Here is a 21,344-nt window from a genome sequence, read left to right as displayed (position 1 = left end):
TGCGTCTCAGGCTGGCGAGAGAGTCAGTCCTGCGGGGCATGAGACAGAGCTTCATAAGAGCCCCACCTGTCCACTGGGAAGATGCGAGTGCCATTCTCAGTCAGCACCGGGCAAACTTAAGAGACATTCCAGCAAAGGAAACAAGACAAAGCCATTATAATCCCTGACTAACCACAAAAATGGTCTACTTAATCTGAGTGTGGGTGTCATTCACCTGCACGGGGCTCCCGAGAGAAGGTCCTGCTCCTGTCCCCATCATGTAGAGGGATGTTGTGGACCAGCCTGATGTCTCTCCCCTGCAGGCCTCCGGTCCATTCAGGAAATACTTGCCCAAAGGGCCAAGCTGCAAAACAGTGCAGAGGTGGGAGCAGGATCCACGCCTCCTTTCTCCCTAGAGAGCCCTCACTGCATTGCCGCCTGGACACCAGCCCCAGAAGGACCTCTTGTCCCTGAAGGAAGGCACTGCCCTGAGGATGGAGCTGACTGAAGTGACAGGCGACAAGTGCTTGGGGTCCAGCAGCGGGAGGTTGGCCTGCCTCGCCACTCTATCCCCCTAGGATGCAGAAAACCCCGGGTCTCCCTGCCCCCTAAGCATGCTGAACCCTCTCTCACTGCCATCTCAGCCTCTGCAGCTGAGGACCACAGCAGGTGTCCCCGACGCACCATTTGGAGCAGTGGTTTGACACATTATCCTCACTGCAGCCCAACCCCCTGGCCTCTGGAAGAAACTGCAGGGTTCTGAATTCTAGCCCAGGCCCTACCCTCGGGACTCACTGCCACTCAGGGTTATTCGAACGCCCTCCACTCCTGCTTTGGGCTTTTTTGTGAAAATAACTACTTTTGTGCAACAACAGCAAAAAAGCCTTGGCTGCTAGGATGAGATCTGAAAAGGGCAGTAGGGACAGCCGCTGGCTTTGGGGTCCACAGAAGCCCCACAGCACACACAGCATGTTATTGGAGACAGCACTGGTTAAATGACCACATTGGAGGGGTCCCTTCAACTCTCCACACCTCGCTTCCTGGCCTGCACACAAACTGGACAGACAAGGATGTTCTAGCAGAGTGCCTGATGGGCTGGAGGCACTCACGAAGCTCTGAAGTCCCATTTTGAAGATTAAGCAATCACTATGCATTTTCCATCCAAGGCAAAGAAAAAAGCCTTTAATTCTTGAATAAGTTCTACAGCCTCCTCTATAAATGCAGCCTTCTGAATAGGAGCCTGTGAGGAGCAAGCGGGGCCGGTCACCTATCTGGGGAAGCGTGAATGCACAAACCCATCCCGAACAAGGCGCTCTGGGCGCAAATGTTCCCCGGGTCCCATCAGTACGCGGGCACCTGGGGATGGAAGGAGGAAGAGCAGGGGCTGTGTTTGCAGATGGCCACATGGCCGGCCCTTACCCATGACCAAGCCGAGTCTGGGGAGCTCTTGCCCTGCGAGGTCTCCCAGCTGGAGCTGCGAATGCCGTCCTGTTCCCCCATGGCCCGCCCTGTATGGTGCTGTCTGCCTCCTCACCCAGCATCAGGAGAGAAATGTCCCCCGGCAACACCGGCTCAGAAGCTGGGAGGCTGGGCTGGGTGACACTGGAGCCTGGGCAGGCGGTGCTTCCCTTTACACCAGTCCCGGGAGCCCCGGCCAAGTCACAAGGCTCAGCAAAAGAGCAGAGTGTTGAATTGCAAATGCTCTCCTACCTGGGGACCAGCTGACAAACAACATCCAGGATGCAAAACTTCCAGAAGATGCCAGTTTCTGTCACCTTTGTGAAGGGGAAACTAGAGAGGGGGGAATGACCCCTGCCGGCCAGCCGCGGGGCACTGTGTACCCTGCCCTCCCCACTCCAGCTCCTCAGAGGCAGTAGGGCTCGGAGATTGAATAACTTCCCCAAGGCCACGAAGTTCCCGGGATGCTTTTCTCCTGCTCTACTTGTTTCCAGATTTATCCTCTTTGTCTTGGGATATTCTGTCTCCAGAGGAGGTTGGTGGCAGGTGTGGAGGGAAAGACCACCTCGTGCTGAGTGCTGGAAATGGTGCTTTCTAGACAGTAATTCCTCCACTTTGTACTCTACCACTGTCTCGCGTGAAAGGTTCTGGAGTCCTCTCTGTTCCTCTGCATCGCCTCAGCACCCCGCAGAGCATCAGGAGAGCCGGGTCCAGTGCGATGCTGCACTCCCCACATGGCCCTGAGCACGGCACGCCACTCTGGACCCTCTTTCCCAGCGGGCCCCAAGGCCACCTGCAGGCACTCAGCCCCATCCATCATCACGACAGCTCTCCAGGTGAATACCTCTCACATATCAGGACCTGTGCTAGACATTGAAGATGCATGCCGGGTGCAGATGCTCACGCCTGTAATCCCAGCAGGTGGCCTCTAGGAAGCAGAGAAGGCAAGAAATGAATTCTCCCCTAGAGCTCCCAGAAGGGAATGCATCCTTCCAGCATCTGTATTTCAGCCTAGTGAAACCCGGGTTGCACTTCTACCCTACTCAACTATCAGGTGATAAACGTGTATTGTTTTAAGCCACTAAGTTTCCAGCAATTTGTCACTGCAGCCCTAGAAAACTAACACACCAAAGAGTGGCTGGAGGAGAGGATCACCCTGCGGCCCTTGGGTGTCAAGGGTGTCAGCTGACCCATGGCAATCAGCCCAGAGGGACCCAGTCAGAGGAACAAACACTGGAACTGTCTCTCCTTTCACTCACCTTCCACCACCGGCCAAGCTCTGTGGAGGCCAGAGCTCATCGAGAACGCTCTCTCTCTCTCTCTCTGACACCCACACACACACACACACACACACACACACACACACACATCTCTGTTGTTCCTATGAAGGTAAACTCTGCTTCTCTGAGTCAGAAAATCCTCCTGTGACTCAATCCTGGAGTGAGGAAAAGAGGGAATGACCTCTGCATTTTTAAATATTCTCTCTAGTCCACGTGTTGGCATCAGACCAAAAGCTGCATAGGGATTAGTAACTGTCAAAGACAATTCAGGCTGCCATAACAAAATACCATAGACTGGTTAGCAACAGGAATTTATTTTCTCACTGTACTAGAGGCTGGAAGTCCAGGGACAAGGTGCTGGCATGGTGGGGTGCTGGGGAGGGCCCTCTTCCTGGGGCTGACTCCTCACCATGTCCTCACATGGTGAAGAGGGGACAGGGGAGGAAGAGAATGCTCTCTGGTGTCTCCTCTTTAAGAACACTAATCCTATGGGATCAGGGCCCCACCCTTACAACATCATTTAACCTTAATTACTCCCTTACTCCAAATACAGTCACACTGGGAGTTTGGGCTTTAACATACTAATTTGGGGAACACAACTCAATCTATAGAACAGGTTATTTTAATGAAAGGTTGCATGCAAAATACAAGAAGGCCAGGACCCAGAGCACACAAAGCAAATAGGAAACCCGGGGTCCTGGCCCCAGACACCCCCTGGCCAGCCAGAAAGCCTTGTAATACTTGACGCTATTGCCCAAAATAGAGCAGCTCTCACATCCCTGGACTCAGAACTGCTGCTCTCCATAACTTCCCACACCTGTTAGAGTCCTCCGGCACTGAGTAGTTCTAATTATTCTCTGCTGAATTAGAAACAGAGGAAGGTAGCTGCCTGCTCAGCAGTTGAACAGGAAAGCCAAGGCTTTGATTCTGCATACAAAGTGGCAAATATCAAGGGTCAGTCTTCCCATACAGGCTGAAATCAGTGCAAACACAAATGATGTTTTATTCTTATTCAGAGGCAACATTAGGCTCTGATGAGTATTGTAGAAGCAAGAGCCAGTCCCAGAGCATCTATGCATAGATATACTCTCTGTGAAGGGCGTCAAGTTCTTGTGACCACGAATGAGATTTACAAACAGGGAGCAGAGCAGTCATTGTGCCCCGATCCCCTAGTGAAGACAGAAATTCTCAGCCTTCTGCACACGCCTGTTGAGGGGACCCCCTCGGCAATTCGATGGTGCTAAATTCCCTCACTTCCACGTTCACTGCGTTTTCCAGTCCTCCCCTGACCTGTCTGGAGACGCCCACTTGCAGAAAATACAAAGAAAATTCTCCTCTTTCTACATGATAGAGAATGCTTACCTAGAGCTGTCCTGAGAAGGCATCAATACATGTCTTTGATGCTCCCTCTGGAAAACGCAGCCACCCCTAACAGTGCCACACATGAAAGACTAGAGACTGTCCCCTTTATCTTTGGGCTTCCCTCCTGTGTAGGCATTAAAGGTTTAACTCCCTGAAGTAAGTAACAGCCAAGGAGCCAAGGAGCTTCAGTTCCTGTGATTTTTTTTTTTTTTTTTTTTGACAGTCTTGCTCTGTCGCCCAGACTGGAGTGAGTGACGTGATCTGGGCTCACTGAAATCTCTGCCTCCTGGGTTCAAGCGATTCTTGTGCCTCAGCCTCGTGAGTAGCTGGGATTACAGGTGTGCACCACCGTGCCTGGCTAATTTTTGTATTTTTTAGTAGAGACAGGGTTTTGCCATATTGGCCAGCCTGGTCTCGAACTCCTGACCTCAGGTGATCCGCCTGCCTTGGCCTCCCAAAGTGCTGGGATTATAGCAATCCCTGTGATTCTTATCTGCTCATTGCCCTAACTCAATGAGGTAGGAAAAGCAGATAGTAGTCTTATCACCCCTCCATTTCAGATGAGTAAACCAAGGCTGAGAAAAGCTGCGTGACTTGGACAAGCCGTAAGACAAATGAGCAGCAGGAGCCAAGACCTGTCCTCACCTCTTCTGACTGCAAGCCCAGCATCACACCAACCTAGACCTTGGGAGGCTAAGCACTTGGAGGATTCTTCCAAAGAGAAGCAGAAACCTACTTTCCCTACAGGCCTTAATGAGCTACATGAAACCCATTGACATAGTTTGGCTGCGTCCTCACCCAAATCTCATCTTGAACTGTAGCTCCCATAATTCCCATGTGTTGTGGGAGGGACCTGGCGGGAGATAATTGAATCATGGAGGTCGTTTCCCCCATACTGTTCTTGTGATAGTGAATAAGTCTCAAGAGGTCTGATGGTTTTATAAGGGGTTTCCCCTTTCACTTGGCTCTCATTCTCTCTTGTCTGCTGCCATGTAAGGCATCCCTTGCTCTTCCACCATGATTGTGTGGTCTCCCCAGCCATGTGGAACTGTAAGTCCATTAAACTTCTTTTCTTTATAAATTACCCAGTCTCGGGTATGTCTTTATCAGCAGCATGAAAACAAACTAATACACCCATTAAAAAGTTAAGAATGTATTGGTACTGGTTATTTTGTTCAAAAAATTTGTTTAACATTCATCCATATGGAATCCTTAAACTTGATGTGGAAACTGAAGTGTAATCTCACAGTTTTCAAATTTTTTAGTTTTAGTTTTCAGTTTTACTTTTAATACTGTAAATATTGATAGATATAACCCACATAAACACAAGTTCTCTGGGGTCCTCAGTCACTTTTAAGGGTATAAAAGGGTCCTGAGACAAAAATGTTATACTTTCTAAAATTAAAACTGAGAATTTTTAAGTATATATTTTTAATTCATTAAAAAAACCATTACATGCTAACAATGCATTTTTATTAGAAATAACCATGTTTCCAAGTTAAAAAAATTGCATCGTATTGCTTCATATTTTTGCAAATCTCATTAATGTCTGGCTAAACTGAAGACAACTGATTCCCTGCTTCTGCATTCAATCTGTTCCAATATTATGCACTGGTTGACGTATATAAAGAAAAGTCAATTTCACACAGACATATACTTGAAAAACTGGGGGGATATTTTAATAATCTTTCAGATACTTGTGGATATTCTTCTCTGGTATTACATCAAATTTGACAAGTAGTGGTTTCTTAAAGGTTGTTACAATATGGAAACTGAAACTATACTGATGAATTTTTCATCATCAGTTACATTAAAATCCACTGGTCTACTTTCTCTTTTGAATGGATCTTTTACTCATGCACAATTTTATACCCTCACACACTGGTTATTTGTAAAATACCAGTTCATCTAGTAGCCATGCAGATCATCCAACTGTTGATACATTTCATTATATAAAAATCACATTATTTCATATCACCATTGTTATCATTAATAAAGTCTTTGGATGTTGGGAAACTGTCAAGTTCATAATGGCAGATACAATGGTCCAAAATTCTGATTTCTTTTTGCAAGCTCAAATGTTATAAATTTATTTACCAAAATATGTTCTGTTATTTTCCCTGAGCGCCAGCTTACTTCATTCATTTTTAAGAAAATATCTGCCAAATACTCAGGCCTAAATAACCATAGTTTGGCAGTCATACTTTCAAGTAAAAATAGTATTCCAAGGAAAAAGCAGCAAGTTCATCTTGTGACTTGGACAAGTGTAATGCTTTCCTTTGAAATGACCATCGTACTTCCATATGCAGCAGAAGTGATTTTATGCATGTGAAGAAGAAAAAGCACAAATGTTAACCTTTAGGATACCAGGGTAAATATTACATTTAATTTTGAGTTGCTGGCACAAAAGCAAAAGGAGAAGCATGATACACTTCATCGCTTAGAGTAACAGAAAAGAGGAAGCAGACAGGAAAGGCATATATTGCTTGATATTAAATAAATTATTCTGAAATAATTTCTCGACCCCAAACATCATATATTGTACACAAACTTCTCTGCTGCCTGTTCACATGGGCTTCCCTCTCTCCTCCAAGGAGTCTTTGGGTGGAACACAATCAGAGCTGAAACAGGGACAGAGCTGGGCAGTGGTCGTGACAAATGTTTTTTATTTTGTCTCAGATTTCACATCATATACTGAGACTTCTATATAGAAAAGACACTTGGGTCTGTAGCAGTTTATTAACTCATTAAAAGCTTTTTAACCTGTAAGATACCATATAAAATTATTCCTTTTTTTTTTTTTTGAGACAGAGTCTTGCCCTATTGCCCAGGCTGGAGTGCAGTGGCACGACCTCAGCTCACTGCAACCTCCGCCTCCTGGGTTCAAGCAATTCTCCTGCCTCAGTCTCCCGAGAGGCTGGGATTACAGGCACGCACCACCACACTTGGCTAATTTTTGTATTTTTAGTAGAGACAGAGGTTCACCATGTTGGCCAGGCTGGTCTCAAACTCCTGACCTCATGATCCACCCGCCTCAGCCTCCCAAAGTGCTGGGATTACAGGCGTGAGCCACCGCGCCCGGCCCATATAAAATTATTCTAAACAATGATTTCAGAGAAGCGAGCACTGTGCGTCACCACAGCCTCTCCACTGCCCAGCAATTTCATCATCTCTCCTACGGTTTTAGGGCGTTGATTCATCCCTTAATTTCCTTAAGATCACAAGAAATTAAGTGGACACGACCTTTCTTTTAAAATTAAAACTTCAGGGCCAGGCACAGTGGCTCACACTTGTAATCCCAGCACTTTGGGAGGCTGAGGTGGGTGGATTGCTTGAGGCCAGGAGCTTGAGACCAGCCTGGCCAACATGGTGAAACCCTGTCTCTACTAAAAATAACAAAAAAATAGCCAGTCATGATGGTGTACACCTGTAATCCCAGCTACTTGAATGGCTGAGACACGAGAATCGCTTGAACCCTCAAGGCAGAGGTTGCCGTGAACAGAAATTGTGCCACTGCACTCCAGCCTGGGCAGCACAGCAAGACTCTGTCTCAAAATAAATAATAAATAAATACAATTAAAACTTCAAAATACCATTTAGGAAGGAGCTATAAACCATTAAAAAAATCACATATTCTGACAAAGAAAGCCCTCTTCCTTTCTTTGTCCCTCAATTGCAAAACACATCAGACTGAATATATGTCTAACCACTTCTGCTCAATTTACTTTCTTTGTGGGATGTTCTCATTTGTAGTTACAACTGGCTACATAATTTGCAAGACTCTATACAAAATGAAATTGCAGGGTTCCTTGTTCAAAAATGATGCAGAATTCCCAGATGACAACAGCATTTGACTCAGGACAAGGCCTTTTCAAGCATGGGACCCCATGCAAAAACACAGTCACATGCCTAAGAATCCAGCCCTGGTTGTTAATGATTCTTGTCGTTCAATAAATGCTTATAATTTCAATAAATTTATTGTGCAGAGTAAAAGTATATTTACATAATCTCAATTTCAATGTAGATATGGTTATATGCCCACATGGAAGATTAAACTGATTATCACCGGGCCATAATAACTTTGCTGAAGACAAAAAAGTCAGGATCCCTGGGTTCCAATTTCAATTCTGCCCCTCAGTAAATACCAGGGGTTCTTGGATGAAATGAGAAGGCCTCTGGGCTTTTCAGCTCTAAAGTTCGGGTGTTCTGCATGAATTTAGAAAAGTGAAAGGTTTTAAAACATGCTAAAAACACTTCTCACTTCATCCCCTAGCTCCATGAGAATGACACTCTCAAAGGACTGGGAAAGTGTGGCACCATGAGGATGTATTCTCAGTGACAAAGGAGCTTCCTGGGGCTCTTAGGATGGCATTGAAACAGCCCTTTAGCAAGAACAATAACAAAATGCTGAAGTGCTGGGAAAGTCTTTCCCAAGATCTCTCCCGAGCTGCACACACACACAAATCAACACAAGGGCCAAGGCGCAAGACGAAAGCACCATGTCTATTTATGCTGCAGGTAGAAACTTCCACACACACGTTCGCTCATTTCATCTTCCCAGAAATTCTGCAGTGTCGATAATAAAGTTGCAAAACCAGATTCAGAGAGGTTAAAAAACTTGCCCAAGTTCACAAAGTTCGAAAGTGGTGGAGTTCGGCCCAACTCGGGACTATCAGCCCCTGAAGGAACCCAACCCCCTTTCCACCAGCACGCGCTTCCCTGGGTTGAACTGAACCCAGACGTGTGACCGACGCTAACGGGCTGGCACTCGCGGTCCCACGTTGGCTCAGGGACACCCTTTCGGGGGCGTGTCCTCCCAGTTCTAGAGGTTCCCAGAGAAGAGGAGGTGCTCACTAACCAGGCAGCTCGCCCAGACTCCGGGCAGTGAGAGGGAGGGAGCGCCGGCCGCGGGAGCGGGATGGAAACCAGCAGCCCGCGGCCCCCGCGGCCCAGCTCCAACCCGGGGCTGAGCCTGGACGCCCGGCTGGGCGTGGACACTCGCCTCTGGGCCAAGGTGCTGTTCACCGCGCTCTACGCACTCATCTGGGCGCTGGGCGCGGCGGGCAATGCGCTGTCCGCGCACGTGGTGCTGAAGGCGCGGGCCGGGCGCGCGGGGCGCCTGCGCCACCACGTGCTCAGCCTGGCGCTCGCGGGCCTGCTGCTGCTGCTGGTCGGCGTGCCGGTGGAGCTCTACAGCTTCGTGTGGTTCCACTACCCCTGGGTCTTCGGCGACCTGGGCTGCCGCGGCTACTACTTCGTGCACGAGCTGTGCGCCTACGCCACGGTGCTGAGCGTGGCAGGCCTGAGCGCCGAGCGCTGCCTAGCCGTGTGCCAGCCCCTGCGTGCCCGCAGCCTGCTGACGCCACGCCGGACCCGGTGGCTGGTGGCGCTCTCGTGGGCCGCCTCGCTCGGCCTCGCCCTGCCCATGGCCGTCATCATGGGGCAGAAGCACGAACTCGAGACGGCGGACGGGGAGCCGGAGCCCGCCTCGCGAGTGTGCACGGTGCTGGTGAGCCGCACCGCGCTCCAAGTCTTTATCCAGGTAAGGGCGTGGAGAGCGGGAGTCGGGGGAGGGGGGGTGGGGGGGCGGTGCTGGGAGGAGGGAACCCCCTCTCCCCGGGGAACAGACATTTTCGACTCTAATGCTCGCCACCACCCAGCAAGTTGGGTCTTGTTGCTCTGTCCCATTTTACTAGAAGGAGGGAGGCGTGGCCAAAGTGAAGCATTGAGAGAAGTCCCGATTTCAATTCAAAATTAACTCCAAAGTCAGTGTTCCCACTCTTGCGAGAGTGGTGCTCAGACATTTGGGCGTAAAGTTGCCTGCAGAGCCTGTGAAAATCCGGAGTCCATGACCCACCCAGGTTCCTGCCTCAGTAGCCCGAAGTCTGTGTTCCAACGAGCTCCCCAGACGGCTCTGGAGAGGGCCTCCCTGGAGGTAGGGTGGGGACGGGGAAGGCACTCCCGGCCTCTCTTCCAGAGGCCTGATCAGGCTTCTAACCTCATTTCCTGTTACCGTCTCCCTGGCAGCCTTGCCTCCTCCAGGCCACTTGTCCCCCCACACCTCTTGCTCCCGCTTTCCCCGAACCCCACACCATGCCCAGCCTCTGGCTTTTAAGTCAAAAGCTCATTCTTCTGCTTTTGGTTCCAACCCTTCTTATTCCCCAAAGTGCAGCTCTGATCTCACCTCCTCCCCAACTCCAGGGACTCTCCCGTCTTCTGAATTCTCTCAGCATGTGATGTATTTGCAGCACTTCACAATGCATTTTCTGAAAGTGATGCTCACCTTTCGAAGTGTCTGTCTCCATTTCCGCATCGTTCTACAAGCCAGTGTCCTCTGGTCGCTTGCTCTAGTCACATTAGACCATGATCTCATGTATCCAGCACATTGGGGAAGTGGGAAAGGCTGAGAAAGCACAGGCCCCTCCAGGCCCTGCTGGGCCTCCAGGAAACCTAAAGGAACAAAGCAGAGTGGAGCCAGGACCCCTTCTCTGCACACTGGCACACGAGGGTATGTGGGAGCGTTTACTGTGTGAATTCATCAGGGCACATGGAGGGTGCAGAGGCTGCTTAGGGGACTCGTCCTAAGCAGTCTCCTAAGCGGCTTCTTAGTGGCACGTCCCCAGGTGAGGCTCCCTCTCATGTTAAGCTGCTTCCTGCAGATGGAAGCCCAGCCTGCCTACACAGTCGAAGGGCCCTCGCTAAAGTCCCCTCTCTCTTCCTATACCCTCTCCTCGTTCCTGAAGATCCCACCTTTGTTCGTGTCTGCTCATCCATCCCCTGGGCAGGGGTAGAGGACTGAAGGGCCTCAGGGAAGGTGTTCACTCACCAACCTGCTTTTCATTCATGACCAAGAGAAATCCATGAAGCAGGCAACGTCTTAAGATTTCGTGGGTGTTCAGTGGAGCCGCTTTGTTTCCATTCAATCTAAACATTGTGGAGGGGAGAGGGACTTTCCACGGCCAGAATCCTTCCAGATATTGAGCATGCCCCACAGTCCTGCCCCCGGAATCCACAGAGGCCACCGAGTCATCCTCAGAAGTGTACCTCTGTGGAGTGGCTGTCCTGGCAACAGGGCCTTCTCTCCACTGAACTTGTCACCTCTTATTTCTTTAAACAACGTCTTCCTCCCCTAGTTCCTTTCTGACAGGCTCAGCCCAGAGATCCCTTGCTCATCACATGGAATCTGCCATGAGCAACTGTCTGCAGTGATTTTCCCGTGGGTCTGGGGGCTCCAATGCGCACCTGGAAGCAGGACACAGGTCTCCCGTGGATGTGGAGTATGGAGGGTGGGATCTGGCCTGGAGAGAGGGAGAGAAGGATGGAGGGACCAAATGCCTAAGGAAGATGTATTTATTTGTTTCCTTGTTTATTTTACATGGAACTTCGCATTTAAAAGTTTATAAGGCTCGGTGCAGTAGCTCAAGCCTGTAATCTCAGCACTTTGGGAGGCTAAGGCAGGAGGATCAGTTGAGGCCAGGAGTTCGAGACCAGCCTGGGCAACATAGTGAAACCCTGTCTCTCCTAAAAATAAAATAGTTAGCTGGGCATGGTGGCATGCCTGTAGTCCTAGCTGTTGAGGAGCCTGAGGCAGGAAGATCCCTTGAACCGAGGAGTTTGAGGTTACATTGAGTCATGATTGCATCACTGCACTCCAGCGGGGGTGACAGAGCAAGACCCTGTCTCAAAAAATAAAAATTAAACATTAAAAGTTCATAATCTGTTTCTGAATAAAAATTCTAGCCATTGTGGAAGGGGAAAGAGGCTGGAGAGGGGTGTAGTCAGAACTCTATGTTGCAAATGATGGAAACAGAACTGGAGGCAACTTCAGCCAAAATAAAAAATTGAAGCAAGGATGTTGGGGCAGAGATCTCAGGTCAGAGTCAGGGGCTCAGGGCTCCCAGGAGCCCCTCTCGCTCCTGCTCTTCCCAGACTCAGAAAGAGGCCTCTGGGTGTCTGTGGGTAGCGTTCACATGCCCAGGTCTGTCCACAGGACAAGAACATGGCTGCTGGCATCCTCTGTGATAATTCAATGAGATCATGTGGAATTGCCCAGAATATTGCAGGTCCTCAACAAACGTTCACCTTCTTTCCTTTCCTGCCTTTTCTTCCCACCTGAGGGTTTAACTCCAGCTCTCCCTTCCCAGCCTGGTACAGTGCCTGGCTCACAGGAAGCAGAATCAGGGCCTTCCCACCTGTCCCGTCTTCTCTCTCTCCCTGCCTGCTCTGCCCTTCTCCTTCCCTCCCTCCTCTCCTCACTCATCATCAAGCTCCCTCCTTCCTCCACCCCTGGCCTCTCTTTAATAACTCAGCTCCATTTGCCTTCTCTGGATTTACTTTTTGTTTCGTTTTTGATATGGAGTCTCACTCTGTCGCCAGGCTGGATTGCAGTCGCACATTCTCGGCTCACTGCAACCTCGGCCTTCTGGGTTCAAGCGATTCTCCTGCCTCAGCCTCCCAAGTAGCTGAGACTACAGGCACGTGCCACCACGCCCAGCTAATTTTTTTATTTTTAGTAGAAATGGGGTTTCACCATGTTGGCCAGGATAGTCTTGATCTCCTGACCTCGTGATCCACCCGTCTCAGCCTCCCAAAGTGCTGGGATTATAGCCGTGAGCCACCACGCCCGGCCTAGATTCACTTTTTGTTCGTTGTTTTTTATTTTATTTTTTGCTTTGAAAACATCTTTACTATTTAAGCAAAGTTATATATGTACATTTTTTAAAAATTTGAGCATGAGTAAGCAAAGGGGTGTGAGAGTTTGGTAGGATGAGGAACCCCACAGTAGCTGTCCCTGTGGCCTCTGGGGCAGCAGCTGGAAGGACTGGCAAGGAGACGACCAGCTGGAGACCCGCAACCTCATCTCTCTGCTCTCTTTGCCTGGGAGATCTTCCCAGGTCTCCCCACCACTTTGGCCCACTGCCACTTGGTACCTCAGCTCTACCAAGGGGTATCATCCTCCTTTTGCCACATCGATTCAGGTCCTGCTGTTGCTGCTGGGTAGCAGGATTCCAAGGGCTAAAGCGCCTGCGTGCCTTCCTGCAGTCTTGACCTGGTTTCTTGGCCTCAGAGGCTGTGACCATGGACTGTGACTTTAAACTGAAGCTGTCCAGCAAGTGGGAGCCGCTTGAGGACCTGTTTGAATCTGAGGACTGCAAAGTAGGCTGAGGCACTTGGGGTCGTGTCTACAAAGCCAAGAGGAAAGGTGGTTCCTTCACAAGCTTGAGCACCCACGGGCCCTCCCTCTTCGGAAAGTCTTTCTGTCTCATGCTGACATGGAAGTAGGGCTTCTGTGTGACCTCTGACTTATAATCTAGTGGTGCAGAGCTACTAACAAACAAGAAGCCAGCTCAGTTACCTTGGGGGATAGTGAGGTCATCATCACCTCCCATCCTAGATGCAGTTTGCTGCCTGCATGACCACTGGGAGTTACATAGGTATGTAGAACCTGCCAATATTTTAACTATGAGTAAAGATCCTGAGTAAATTCGAGTCCAAATCACTGATATGAGTGGCACTCTATTTTTTTGTTCACCTTTGAAGCCTTGGGCAGATCTGGATCTAGCAGCTGCAACATTCCGAGTCCCAGAGCTACTTATCGAGGCAAGACATTATTCCAGAGCTGCTGATACATGGGCTATAGCGTGTGTATTTGCAGAACTACTAATGTCAGAACGAATATTTTTTATCATCCACACTAGTAACCTCTAGCCCCATGACAAGCCAGCACTAAGCACAGAGCAGCAGGTACAGGAATCTACCTCCCAGCTGCCTGCACGTGGTCCCCAGCTGCAGCAGAAGAGCCAGCGCATTGCCGCTCAGACCTGGCTGCGCAGTTCTCCGCCGAGGCCTGGCGTGGCTGTGACAATGAACCGTATTTCCACAATGCCTGGGAGCCGGGTTCCACCACTTGTCACAGTCTGGACTAGTGACTTCCAGGCTGTTCCTAACTGGGAGACAAGCTTGGAAAAAAAAAAAAAAAAAAAAAAAAAAAACAGTGCCAAAGTGCCAAGCAATGTTTGTGTTTTGAATATGCTGCTCACAGTTTCCTTGACATGGTTCAACCTGGCCAGGGCAATGAAGCTGTGAAATGAATTCTGTCAGTCTAACAGCATCTTTTGACAAATAGTGCGTTTAAAAATGTTTCAATTGAAACATACAGTGTATGTTAACACAACAAAATAACCAGACTCAAATTAGGATTATTTTGATTCTAATATTTTATCAGTGAGTTGATTCACTGTTTATATTAACCAGTGTTTTTTTGGTCCAAGAAAATTGCTTACAGTTTTTGAAAGTACGAAAAACTATAGTTTTCCCAGAAAGATTTTAAAACTCCCAAAGATTAATTACTAATGCATAAATATATTTTTAATTTTGATCTTTGTCTTGACTGGTATTAAAGCTACAAATTGAGAGTAATTAAGTATGTCATTACTGATATAAACCTGTTTGGTTCGTCAACAAACTAAATTGATGGTCACAGGTAGTGTTTTATTTTTCCCTCAGTGTTGCTGATTTGTGAGCAAGCATTAAGATAAAAAGGCATGAATGATAACTCCATAAAAAGGCACAGGGTCCAATTCAGATAGTTCATACTGATTTTAAAGTGGTATTAAATATCATTCAGTTAGTCCAGGCACAGTGGCTCACACCTGTAATCCCAGCACTTTGCGAAGCCAAGGTGGGCAGATTGCTTGAGCTCAGGAGTTCAGGACCAGCCTGGGCAGCATAGTGAGAACCCCATCTCTACACAAAATACAAAAATTAGCCAGGCGTAGTGGCACATGCATGTAGTCCCAGCTACTCGGGAGGCTGAGGTGGGAGGATCACTTGAGCCCAGGAGGCAGAGGTTGCAGTAAGTTGTGATTGCACTACCGCACTCTAGTCTGGGCGACCTCGTCTCAAAAAAAAAAAAAAATGCTCAGTGTTTAAAATGTTTGCTAAGGGAAAGGTGGAAGAGAGCCTTAGAACTGATGAGGGGAAACCCTAGAACACATTGATTTTGAATTTTTAAAAGTAAACATTTAAAACACAGGGTATTATATAAATAAATTCATTTTTCTAAGTCACATAGTATCAATGATGATAACCCAAGGTGTGTGATGGAAAACAGCAGTCCCATCATTCTCCATACTCTGATTCATTTCTCTATTTCTCTAGTTGAGAGGCAAATACCATGTGTTCTTGTCGCTTGTCCTCTTTGCCTCCATATTTCTAAAGAGCATACTAGCTTTATTTCTGTTTTAAATTGTATCCACTGTCTTATATCTACAGAAAATGAGCATTTCACTCTCCCACATTCCTGTCCCTGCCTTCTGTCACCATCACCTCAACACACACTGGCCCCATCCTCCTTCCAGTGTAATTCTATCCCTGTGCTGGGTTAAATTTATGTTCAGTATTTATGTAATTGTGACTATGTAAACATTCTTCACAGATGACCCATGTGTTGTATTTTCTTTCTAATCCAAGGACTTTTGTTTTCTTTGCGGTTAATAATGTATGGCCTTTTTTTTCATTTGCATAGTTTTTTAAGTACCTATTTGTAGTTCATTTTCAGCTCCTCTATCACAAGCGTAAATGCCCTTTCAATATGTTCTGATCCATTAGATAATCTACCAGTTTCATCTTTTATTTTTCAGTTCTCCCTGGAGCTCTCTGGTCTCCTGCTCCAGTCCCACTGGTTGCTCTCTGGTGCACAGGGGGACCATAGGGAAGTCTCATCTGCACGGGGGCCCCCTGGGAGCTCCCTTCCATCCCTCGGTGGGTCCTGTGTAGGATACCCCATTTTGAATGACAGGTCTTCCTCTTTATTGGCTTATAACCTTATTTGTCTAGAACATGTTCTTTTAATCTCCTGAGACCTGAGGAAGGGTCCATAGAGGGTAAAAAAAAATTGAGAATTTGCATGTCAAAAATTGTTTTCTTTTATCCTCATGTTTGTCATAATATGGCTGGGTATAAAATTCTAAGATGGAAGCCATTTTTCTCACAAATTGTAAAGCACTGCTCATGATTTTCTAGCTTCCACCATTGCTTTTAAGAAGTGAATGTCATTCTGGTTTTCCATCCTATCTATGTGACCTGTTTTATCTGTCTGGAAGCTTTCAAGATCTTCTCTTTATACCTAAGATGCTAAATGTCATAAGAATGAGACTTGCTATGAGTCTATTTCCATCGATTCTTCTGGGCACCCGGGCAGCCTTTCAGTCTAGAAGCTCAGATTCCTCAACTTTGGGAAAATTTTCTTGAATGCATTTTTTTTTTGAGACGGAGTCTCGCTCTGTTGCCCAGGCTGGAGTGCAGTGGCATGATCTCGGCTCACTGCAAGCTCCGCCTCCTGGGTTCACACCATTCTCCTGGCTCAGCCTCCCGAGTAGCTGGGACTACAGGCGCCCGCTACCACGCCCAGCTAATTTTTTGTATTTTTAGTAGAGACAGGGTTTCACCATGTTAGCCAGGATGGTCTCGATCTCCTGACCTCGTGATCCGCCCGCCTCGGCCTCCCAAAGTGCTGGGATTACAGGCGTGAGTCACCGTGCCCGGCTTGAATGCATTTTTAAATAAAATTTCCTCCCCTCTGTTTTCTCTATTTTTTTTCTTCCTGGAACCCCTATTATGAACATCCTATACTAATCCGAAATTTTATTTTCTCTCTCCTCACTTTTTGAGAACTTTCTCAACCTTATCTTCTAACCCTTCTGCCGCTCCTTCTGCTGATGCAGATTCCGGGTCTGGGGCACAGCCAGATGGCGAGGGCCGCAGGGCCCTGGCGCTGCCCCATAGCCCTTGGCATTACCTCCACAGGTGAATGTGCTGGTGTCCTTCGTGCTCCCCTTGGCACTAACTGCTTTCCTGAATGGGGTCACAGTGAGCCACCTGCTGGCCCTCTGCTCCCAAGTGCCGTCCACTTCTACCCCGGGCAGCTCCACCCCCAGCCGCCTGGAGCTGCTGAGTGAGGAGGGTCTCCTCAGCTTCATCGTATGGAAGAAGACCTTTATCCAGGGAGGCCAGGTCAGCCTGGTGAGACATAAAGACGTGCGCCGGATCCGCAGCCTCCAGCGCAGCGTCCAGGTTCTCAGTTAAGTCCTCTGTAACATCACCCCAGAAGAAAGGGGCCTAAGTTCCAGGGCTGCCTCCACCAATCCCTGGCCGGGTGACCTCAGCAAGTCACTACCTCTCTCAAGGCTTCCTTTACCCTATGCCCCAGGGGAACTGTATAACCAACAGACTTCCTGTAGGGTTCGGTGCTATAATTAAAGGAAAGAATAGGAATTCTGTACATGAAGCCTCTGATCTGCTCCAGGGAATAGCACACACAGGCAAACAGAGACCTGACCACTTTTCAGTGAGTCTGGCGGTGTGGATGAACATGAGGAGCAGTTATGGTTAAAGACTGCGGCTGCAAATTGTGGACTCTCAGATGGGCTGGGTACCTAAATCCAGTCCCTTCAAACTCCATTTTCCCTCCTACAACACTGATCTGTTTGCTTTCTTGTTTTGTAAGTCTCTGGGAAAATTTGGCCTTGTAAGAGAAACTCCAAAAGGCACAGGAGAGCAGAGGTCTCTCCAAGCACCCACCATAACCCAGGCACTAGCTAGGGTATGGAAGGATCAAGTACAAGACAGGCCCTCTGCTGTCATCAATGTCACAGTCTTGTGTATGGACAGAGATGCAAGAGCTAAGTGCAATGTGATGTGATAAGTAACACAAAGTCAGCACATGAAGGTGTCAGACTTCATTTTAGGGACGATGGTCAGTCATTGAAAAAGTTGATGTCCATAAGTGACGGGAGATTTGCTTTTGAGACCTATTGCGCTCAGCTCTTTGGAGAATGGGCTAAACGGTGCCTCTCAAACTTCAGTGTGTGTTAAGAATGATCTGGAGAGTTGTAAAATGCAAGCCGCGGGGCCCAAGATTCTGCACTTCTACCAGGCTTCTCACTGATGTTGACACTGCTGGTCCAGGGGCTACCCTGGGCTAGATGATGGCTTTGCCAGTCAGAGCAGAGTAGAAGCAGGAGAGGGAAGGGGTGGGAGGTTGGGAAACTCGTCATAGTCCAGTACAGAGGCGGTAAGAGTCTCTTAGGGAGGTAGCAGTGAGAGCAGGGAAAGCACAGAGGAGAGATGCTAAGAAGGAACTTTTCAATAGACTGGATATAGAAAGGAACAGAAAAATAGGAGTCTCTGGCTTATGGCTTGAGTGCCAGATGAATGGCAGTGCTGTAAATTAACCAGAGAAAGGACTAAAGGAGCAAGAGGCTTTCTAAGACAAGAAAGACACAAGTTCACTTTTTTTTTCTTTTTGAGATGGAGTCTTGCTCTGTCACCCAGGCTGGAGTGCAGTGGTGTGGTCTCAGCTCACTGCAACCTCCTCCTTCCAGGTTCAAGCAATTCTCCTGCTTCAGCCTCCCAGGTAGCTGGGATTACAGGCACCTGCCACCACACCTGGCTAATTTTTGTCCTGTTAGCCAGGCTGGTCTCAAACACCTGACCTCAACTGATCCACCTGCCTCGGCTTCCCAAAGTGCTGGGATTACAGGCATGAGCCACCGTGCCTGGCCCAAGAAAGACAGTTCTGTTGTATATGCAGATAGATAACCTGGTAGGGATATCTAGCCCTGGGTTGGGAGTATATTCTAGTGGCCAGGAGGAGGTCCTAGAAGCATGCTGTGTCCTGCTCATGGCCAGAGTGGACACTTATCCAGAGGACAGGATCACATGAGGTTTGAGAAGAGATTCAGGTCGGGATATATCAGATAACCTCAAAGCCTCCTTCCAACCCTTGACTCCAGGACCAAGTTAGAGGGAAATGCTGCTATCCCCTCGGGCATCAGCCTCCCTTTGCAATGGTGTAACTGAGAATGTGTTTGCTTTCTCCTGGCGCTGTCTCTCCCTTTCCAATGCTCTGCAGGAGCCATCGTGGTCATGTATGTCATCTGCTGGCTGCCGTACCATGCCCGCAGGCTCATGTACTGCTACGTACCTGATGACGCGTGGACTGAGTGAGTGTGGCAGAAGGACCCTAGCACACAGGGAGGGGGCCCAACTGGGCTAGGCCTGGGGTCTCCATTGCTCTCCAGAGGGACCCTCCATTGCTGGGTCCTCTGGAATCCTGGACCGCATTCCACCTGGTCCCGTGCAGTCTGTGCCTTGAAATCTCCCAGCCAGGGATGGGGAACAGAACATTGTATCTGACCTGGTAAGGCCGTGTGCGTAAGAGGCCTAGCCAAGACTGTGGGATTCTCACTACAGGAGAAAGAGAAGCCTCAGCCTGGGAAGAGGGAGCACGGGCCATGCTTCTGAGGCTTCCTCTCTCTCTCCTTCCTCTCCTATTCCAAGGAGAGTGTGAGGAAGACACAAAGGTGCGACCCCAGGAGCTAACAAAGGTCCCCTTGGCAGAGACCAAGACATGCACCCCCTTTTATGACATGGTTGGAGAAGATGAGAGAATTCATAATCTGCCTTTCAGAAATCACTGTGCCCCAATCATAAGTGGGAATCAAACATCCAAAAGAATCGAGGTCCCAGGAAGCCTCCACAGAAAGAGCCATGTGACAGATGCCTCCTCCTCAGGAGGCACCAGCACCCCTTACACTTGCACGGGCAACATGAGCTCGTGCCAAGCGCTTCCCACTGCAGAGAACCTGCAGCAAGGAGTGCGGCTCCTCAGACGGAACTTCGGCTCTTAGTGCAGCCACATCTCCTGACCACACGCAGCAGTCCGGGGCACCCGGGGCCTCAGTGGCTGGACAGATGGCCCCTGTCAGTCAGCAGTGTCACCTTACCATGAGGTGACCAGGAACCACAGCCAGGGATGGCAGATCATAGAGGCTGGGTGGAGGGCGTCAGCTGCTGGTGATGAAACATTTATGGAATTTACATTGTGCTTCCTGGCTGGGCACGGTGGCTCATGCCTGTAATCTCAGCACTTTGGGAGGCTAAGGCAGGTGGATCACCTGAGGTCAGCAGTTCAAGACCAGTCTGGCCAACATGGTGAAACCGCGTCTCTACTAAAAATACAAAAATTGGCTGGGCATGGTGGTGTGTGCCTGTAGTCCCAGCTATTCAGGACTGTAGGCAGGAGAATTGCTTGAGCTCAGAAGGCGGAGGTTGCAGTGAGCCATGCCATTGCACTCCAGCCTGGGAGACAGAGCAAGACTCCGTCTCAAAAACAAACAAACAAACAAAAACACTGTGCTTCCTGATAGCAGAAAATAGGCTTCGTCATGCAGCCCTCTGGAGGAGAGGCATTCTCCAGTAGGAAGTGGACACTGTGAGGAGGTGACAGGTCCTCTAACCAGGCTCCCGGGTTTCTCTTGCAGCCCACTGTACAATTTCTACCACTACTTCTACATGGTGACCAACACACTTTTCTACGTCAGCTCAGCTGTGACTCCTCTTCTCTACAACGCCGTGTCCTCCTCCTTCAGAAAACTCTTCCTGGAAGCCGTCAGCTCCCTGTGTGGAGAGCACCACCCCATGAAGCGGTTACCCCCGAAGCCCCAGAGTCCCACCCTAATGGATACAGCTTCAGGCTTTGGGGATCCCCCAGAAACCCGGACCTGAATGTAATGCAAGAATGAACAGAACAAGCAAAATGACCAGCTGCTTAGTCACCTGGCAAAGCAGGTGAGCAACCTCATCACTAATCATTCAAGCTTCGCAGCCAGGGCGACTTCTATCAACCCCTGCTCTGCTGAGAACCATCAAGCGCAGGGAAGCCACGTGACCCCTCCTAGCCTCAGGCTCCCTCGTCTGTGTAGTGGAGATAAAGAACAGCACCCATCTCTTAGTGTTGCCTGAGACTAAAGTGCTTAGCACAGAACCTGGTGCGTAGTAGATGCTCAATAAATTTTTGCTGGCACGATTTCTGTTGTTACTGTTGTTGCATGGCTATCATCATTGCTTTCCTGCTGTCCTGAAAGCCCACAACACTCTTCTGTAGTTTTATGCTCAGGTGTCCTATAAATTTCCTCAAATGACAAATCAGCAGTGCCCCAGAAGCTGACCAAATCGGTGCCTCACGTGAGCTGTAGTAAGATTCTCCATTCTCTCCCAGGCAGGGAGCAGCTGTTGACACTGACAGCAGCTTCTGCAGACTCTGGAAAGCCAGTGGGCTGCTGGCGTCCCCTCCTGCCTCTGGCCAAGCCAGACCATGTGGCTTGCCGGGAAACGGCCATGCACACTCTGCCACGAGGCACATGCAGCCCAGTTATGCTCTGGCCAGCGCAATGCTGGACAAGAGTTGAATCTTAATTCTCT

The 21,344-nt window shown here is 48.9% G+C and overlaps 2 protein-coding genes and 1 pseudogene across 8 annotated transcripts in view, besides 1 other annotated feature; 2 read left to right on the top strand and 1 right to left on the bottom strand.

Moving 5' to 3' along the window:
- LPIN1 (lipin 1) overlaps positions 1-1,583 on the bottom strand; it is a 149,866-nt gene extending 148,283 nt beyond the window's left edge. For all 3 annotated transcript variants that reach the window (NM_001261428.3, NM_001349208.2, NM_001349207.2), the window contains exon 1: positions 1,399-1,583. In NM_001261428.3, the coding sequence (NP_001248357.1) occupies positions 1,399-1,479 (81 nt within the window). In that variant the 5' untranslated portion in view covers positions 1,480-1,583. The remainder of the gene's footprint in view (positions 1-1,398) is intronic.
- On the top strand, positions 8,932-20,949 carry NTSR2 (neurotensin receptor 2). 5 transcript variants are annotated; one of them, XM_006711877.4, is made up of 4 exons: positions 8,932-9,621; positions 16,887-17,093; positions 18,994-19,084; positions 20,405-20,949. In XM_006711877.4, the coding sequence occupies exons 1-4, from the start codon at positions 8,998-9,000 to the stop codon at positions 20,440-20,442; spliced, it is 960 nt and encodes a 319-aa protein (XP_006711940.1). In that variant the 5' UTR covers positions 8,932-8,997; the 3' UTR covers positions 20,443-20,949. The 5 variants fall into 5 exon arrangements, with proteins under 5 accessions (XP_006711940.1, XP_006711939.1, XP_016859227.1 ...); XM_006711876.5 differs by having other exon boundaries at positions 16,887-17,102; XM_017003738.2 differs by having other exon boundaries at positions 16,887-17,153.
- Positions 8,955-9,491: an enhancer, noted in NCBI's record as "H3K4me1 hESC enhancer chr2:11809762-11810298 (GRCh37/hg19 assembly coordinates)". NCBI's record gives its function as "activates a minimal SCP1, AML or CMV promoter by ChIP-STARR-seq in naive H9 embryonic stem cells {active_cell/tissue: H9 hESC(naive)}" and the evidence as "EXISTENCE:reporter gene assay evidence [ECO:0000049][PMID:30033119]".
- On the top strand, positions 13,158-13,801 carry CDK8P1 (cyclin dependent kinase 8 pseudogene 1; annotated as a pseudogene).
- Positions 20,950-21,344: the final 395 nt, after the last annotated feature.

The sequence above is a fragment of the Homo sapiens genome, chromosome 2, assembly GCF_000001405.40.
Source record: "Homo sapiens chromosome 2, GRCh38.p14 Primary Assembly".
NCBI lineage: Eukaryota > Metazoa > Chordata > Mammalia > Primates > Hominidae > Homo > Homo sapiens.
The sequence above is the reverse complement of the archived record's forward strand: the minus strand, read 5'-3'. Positions and strand labels throughout refer to the sequence as shown.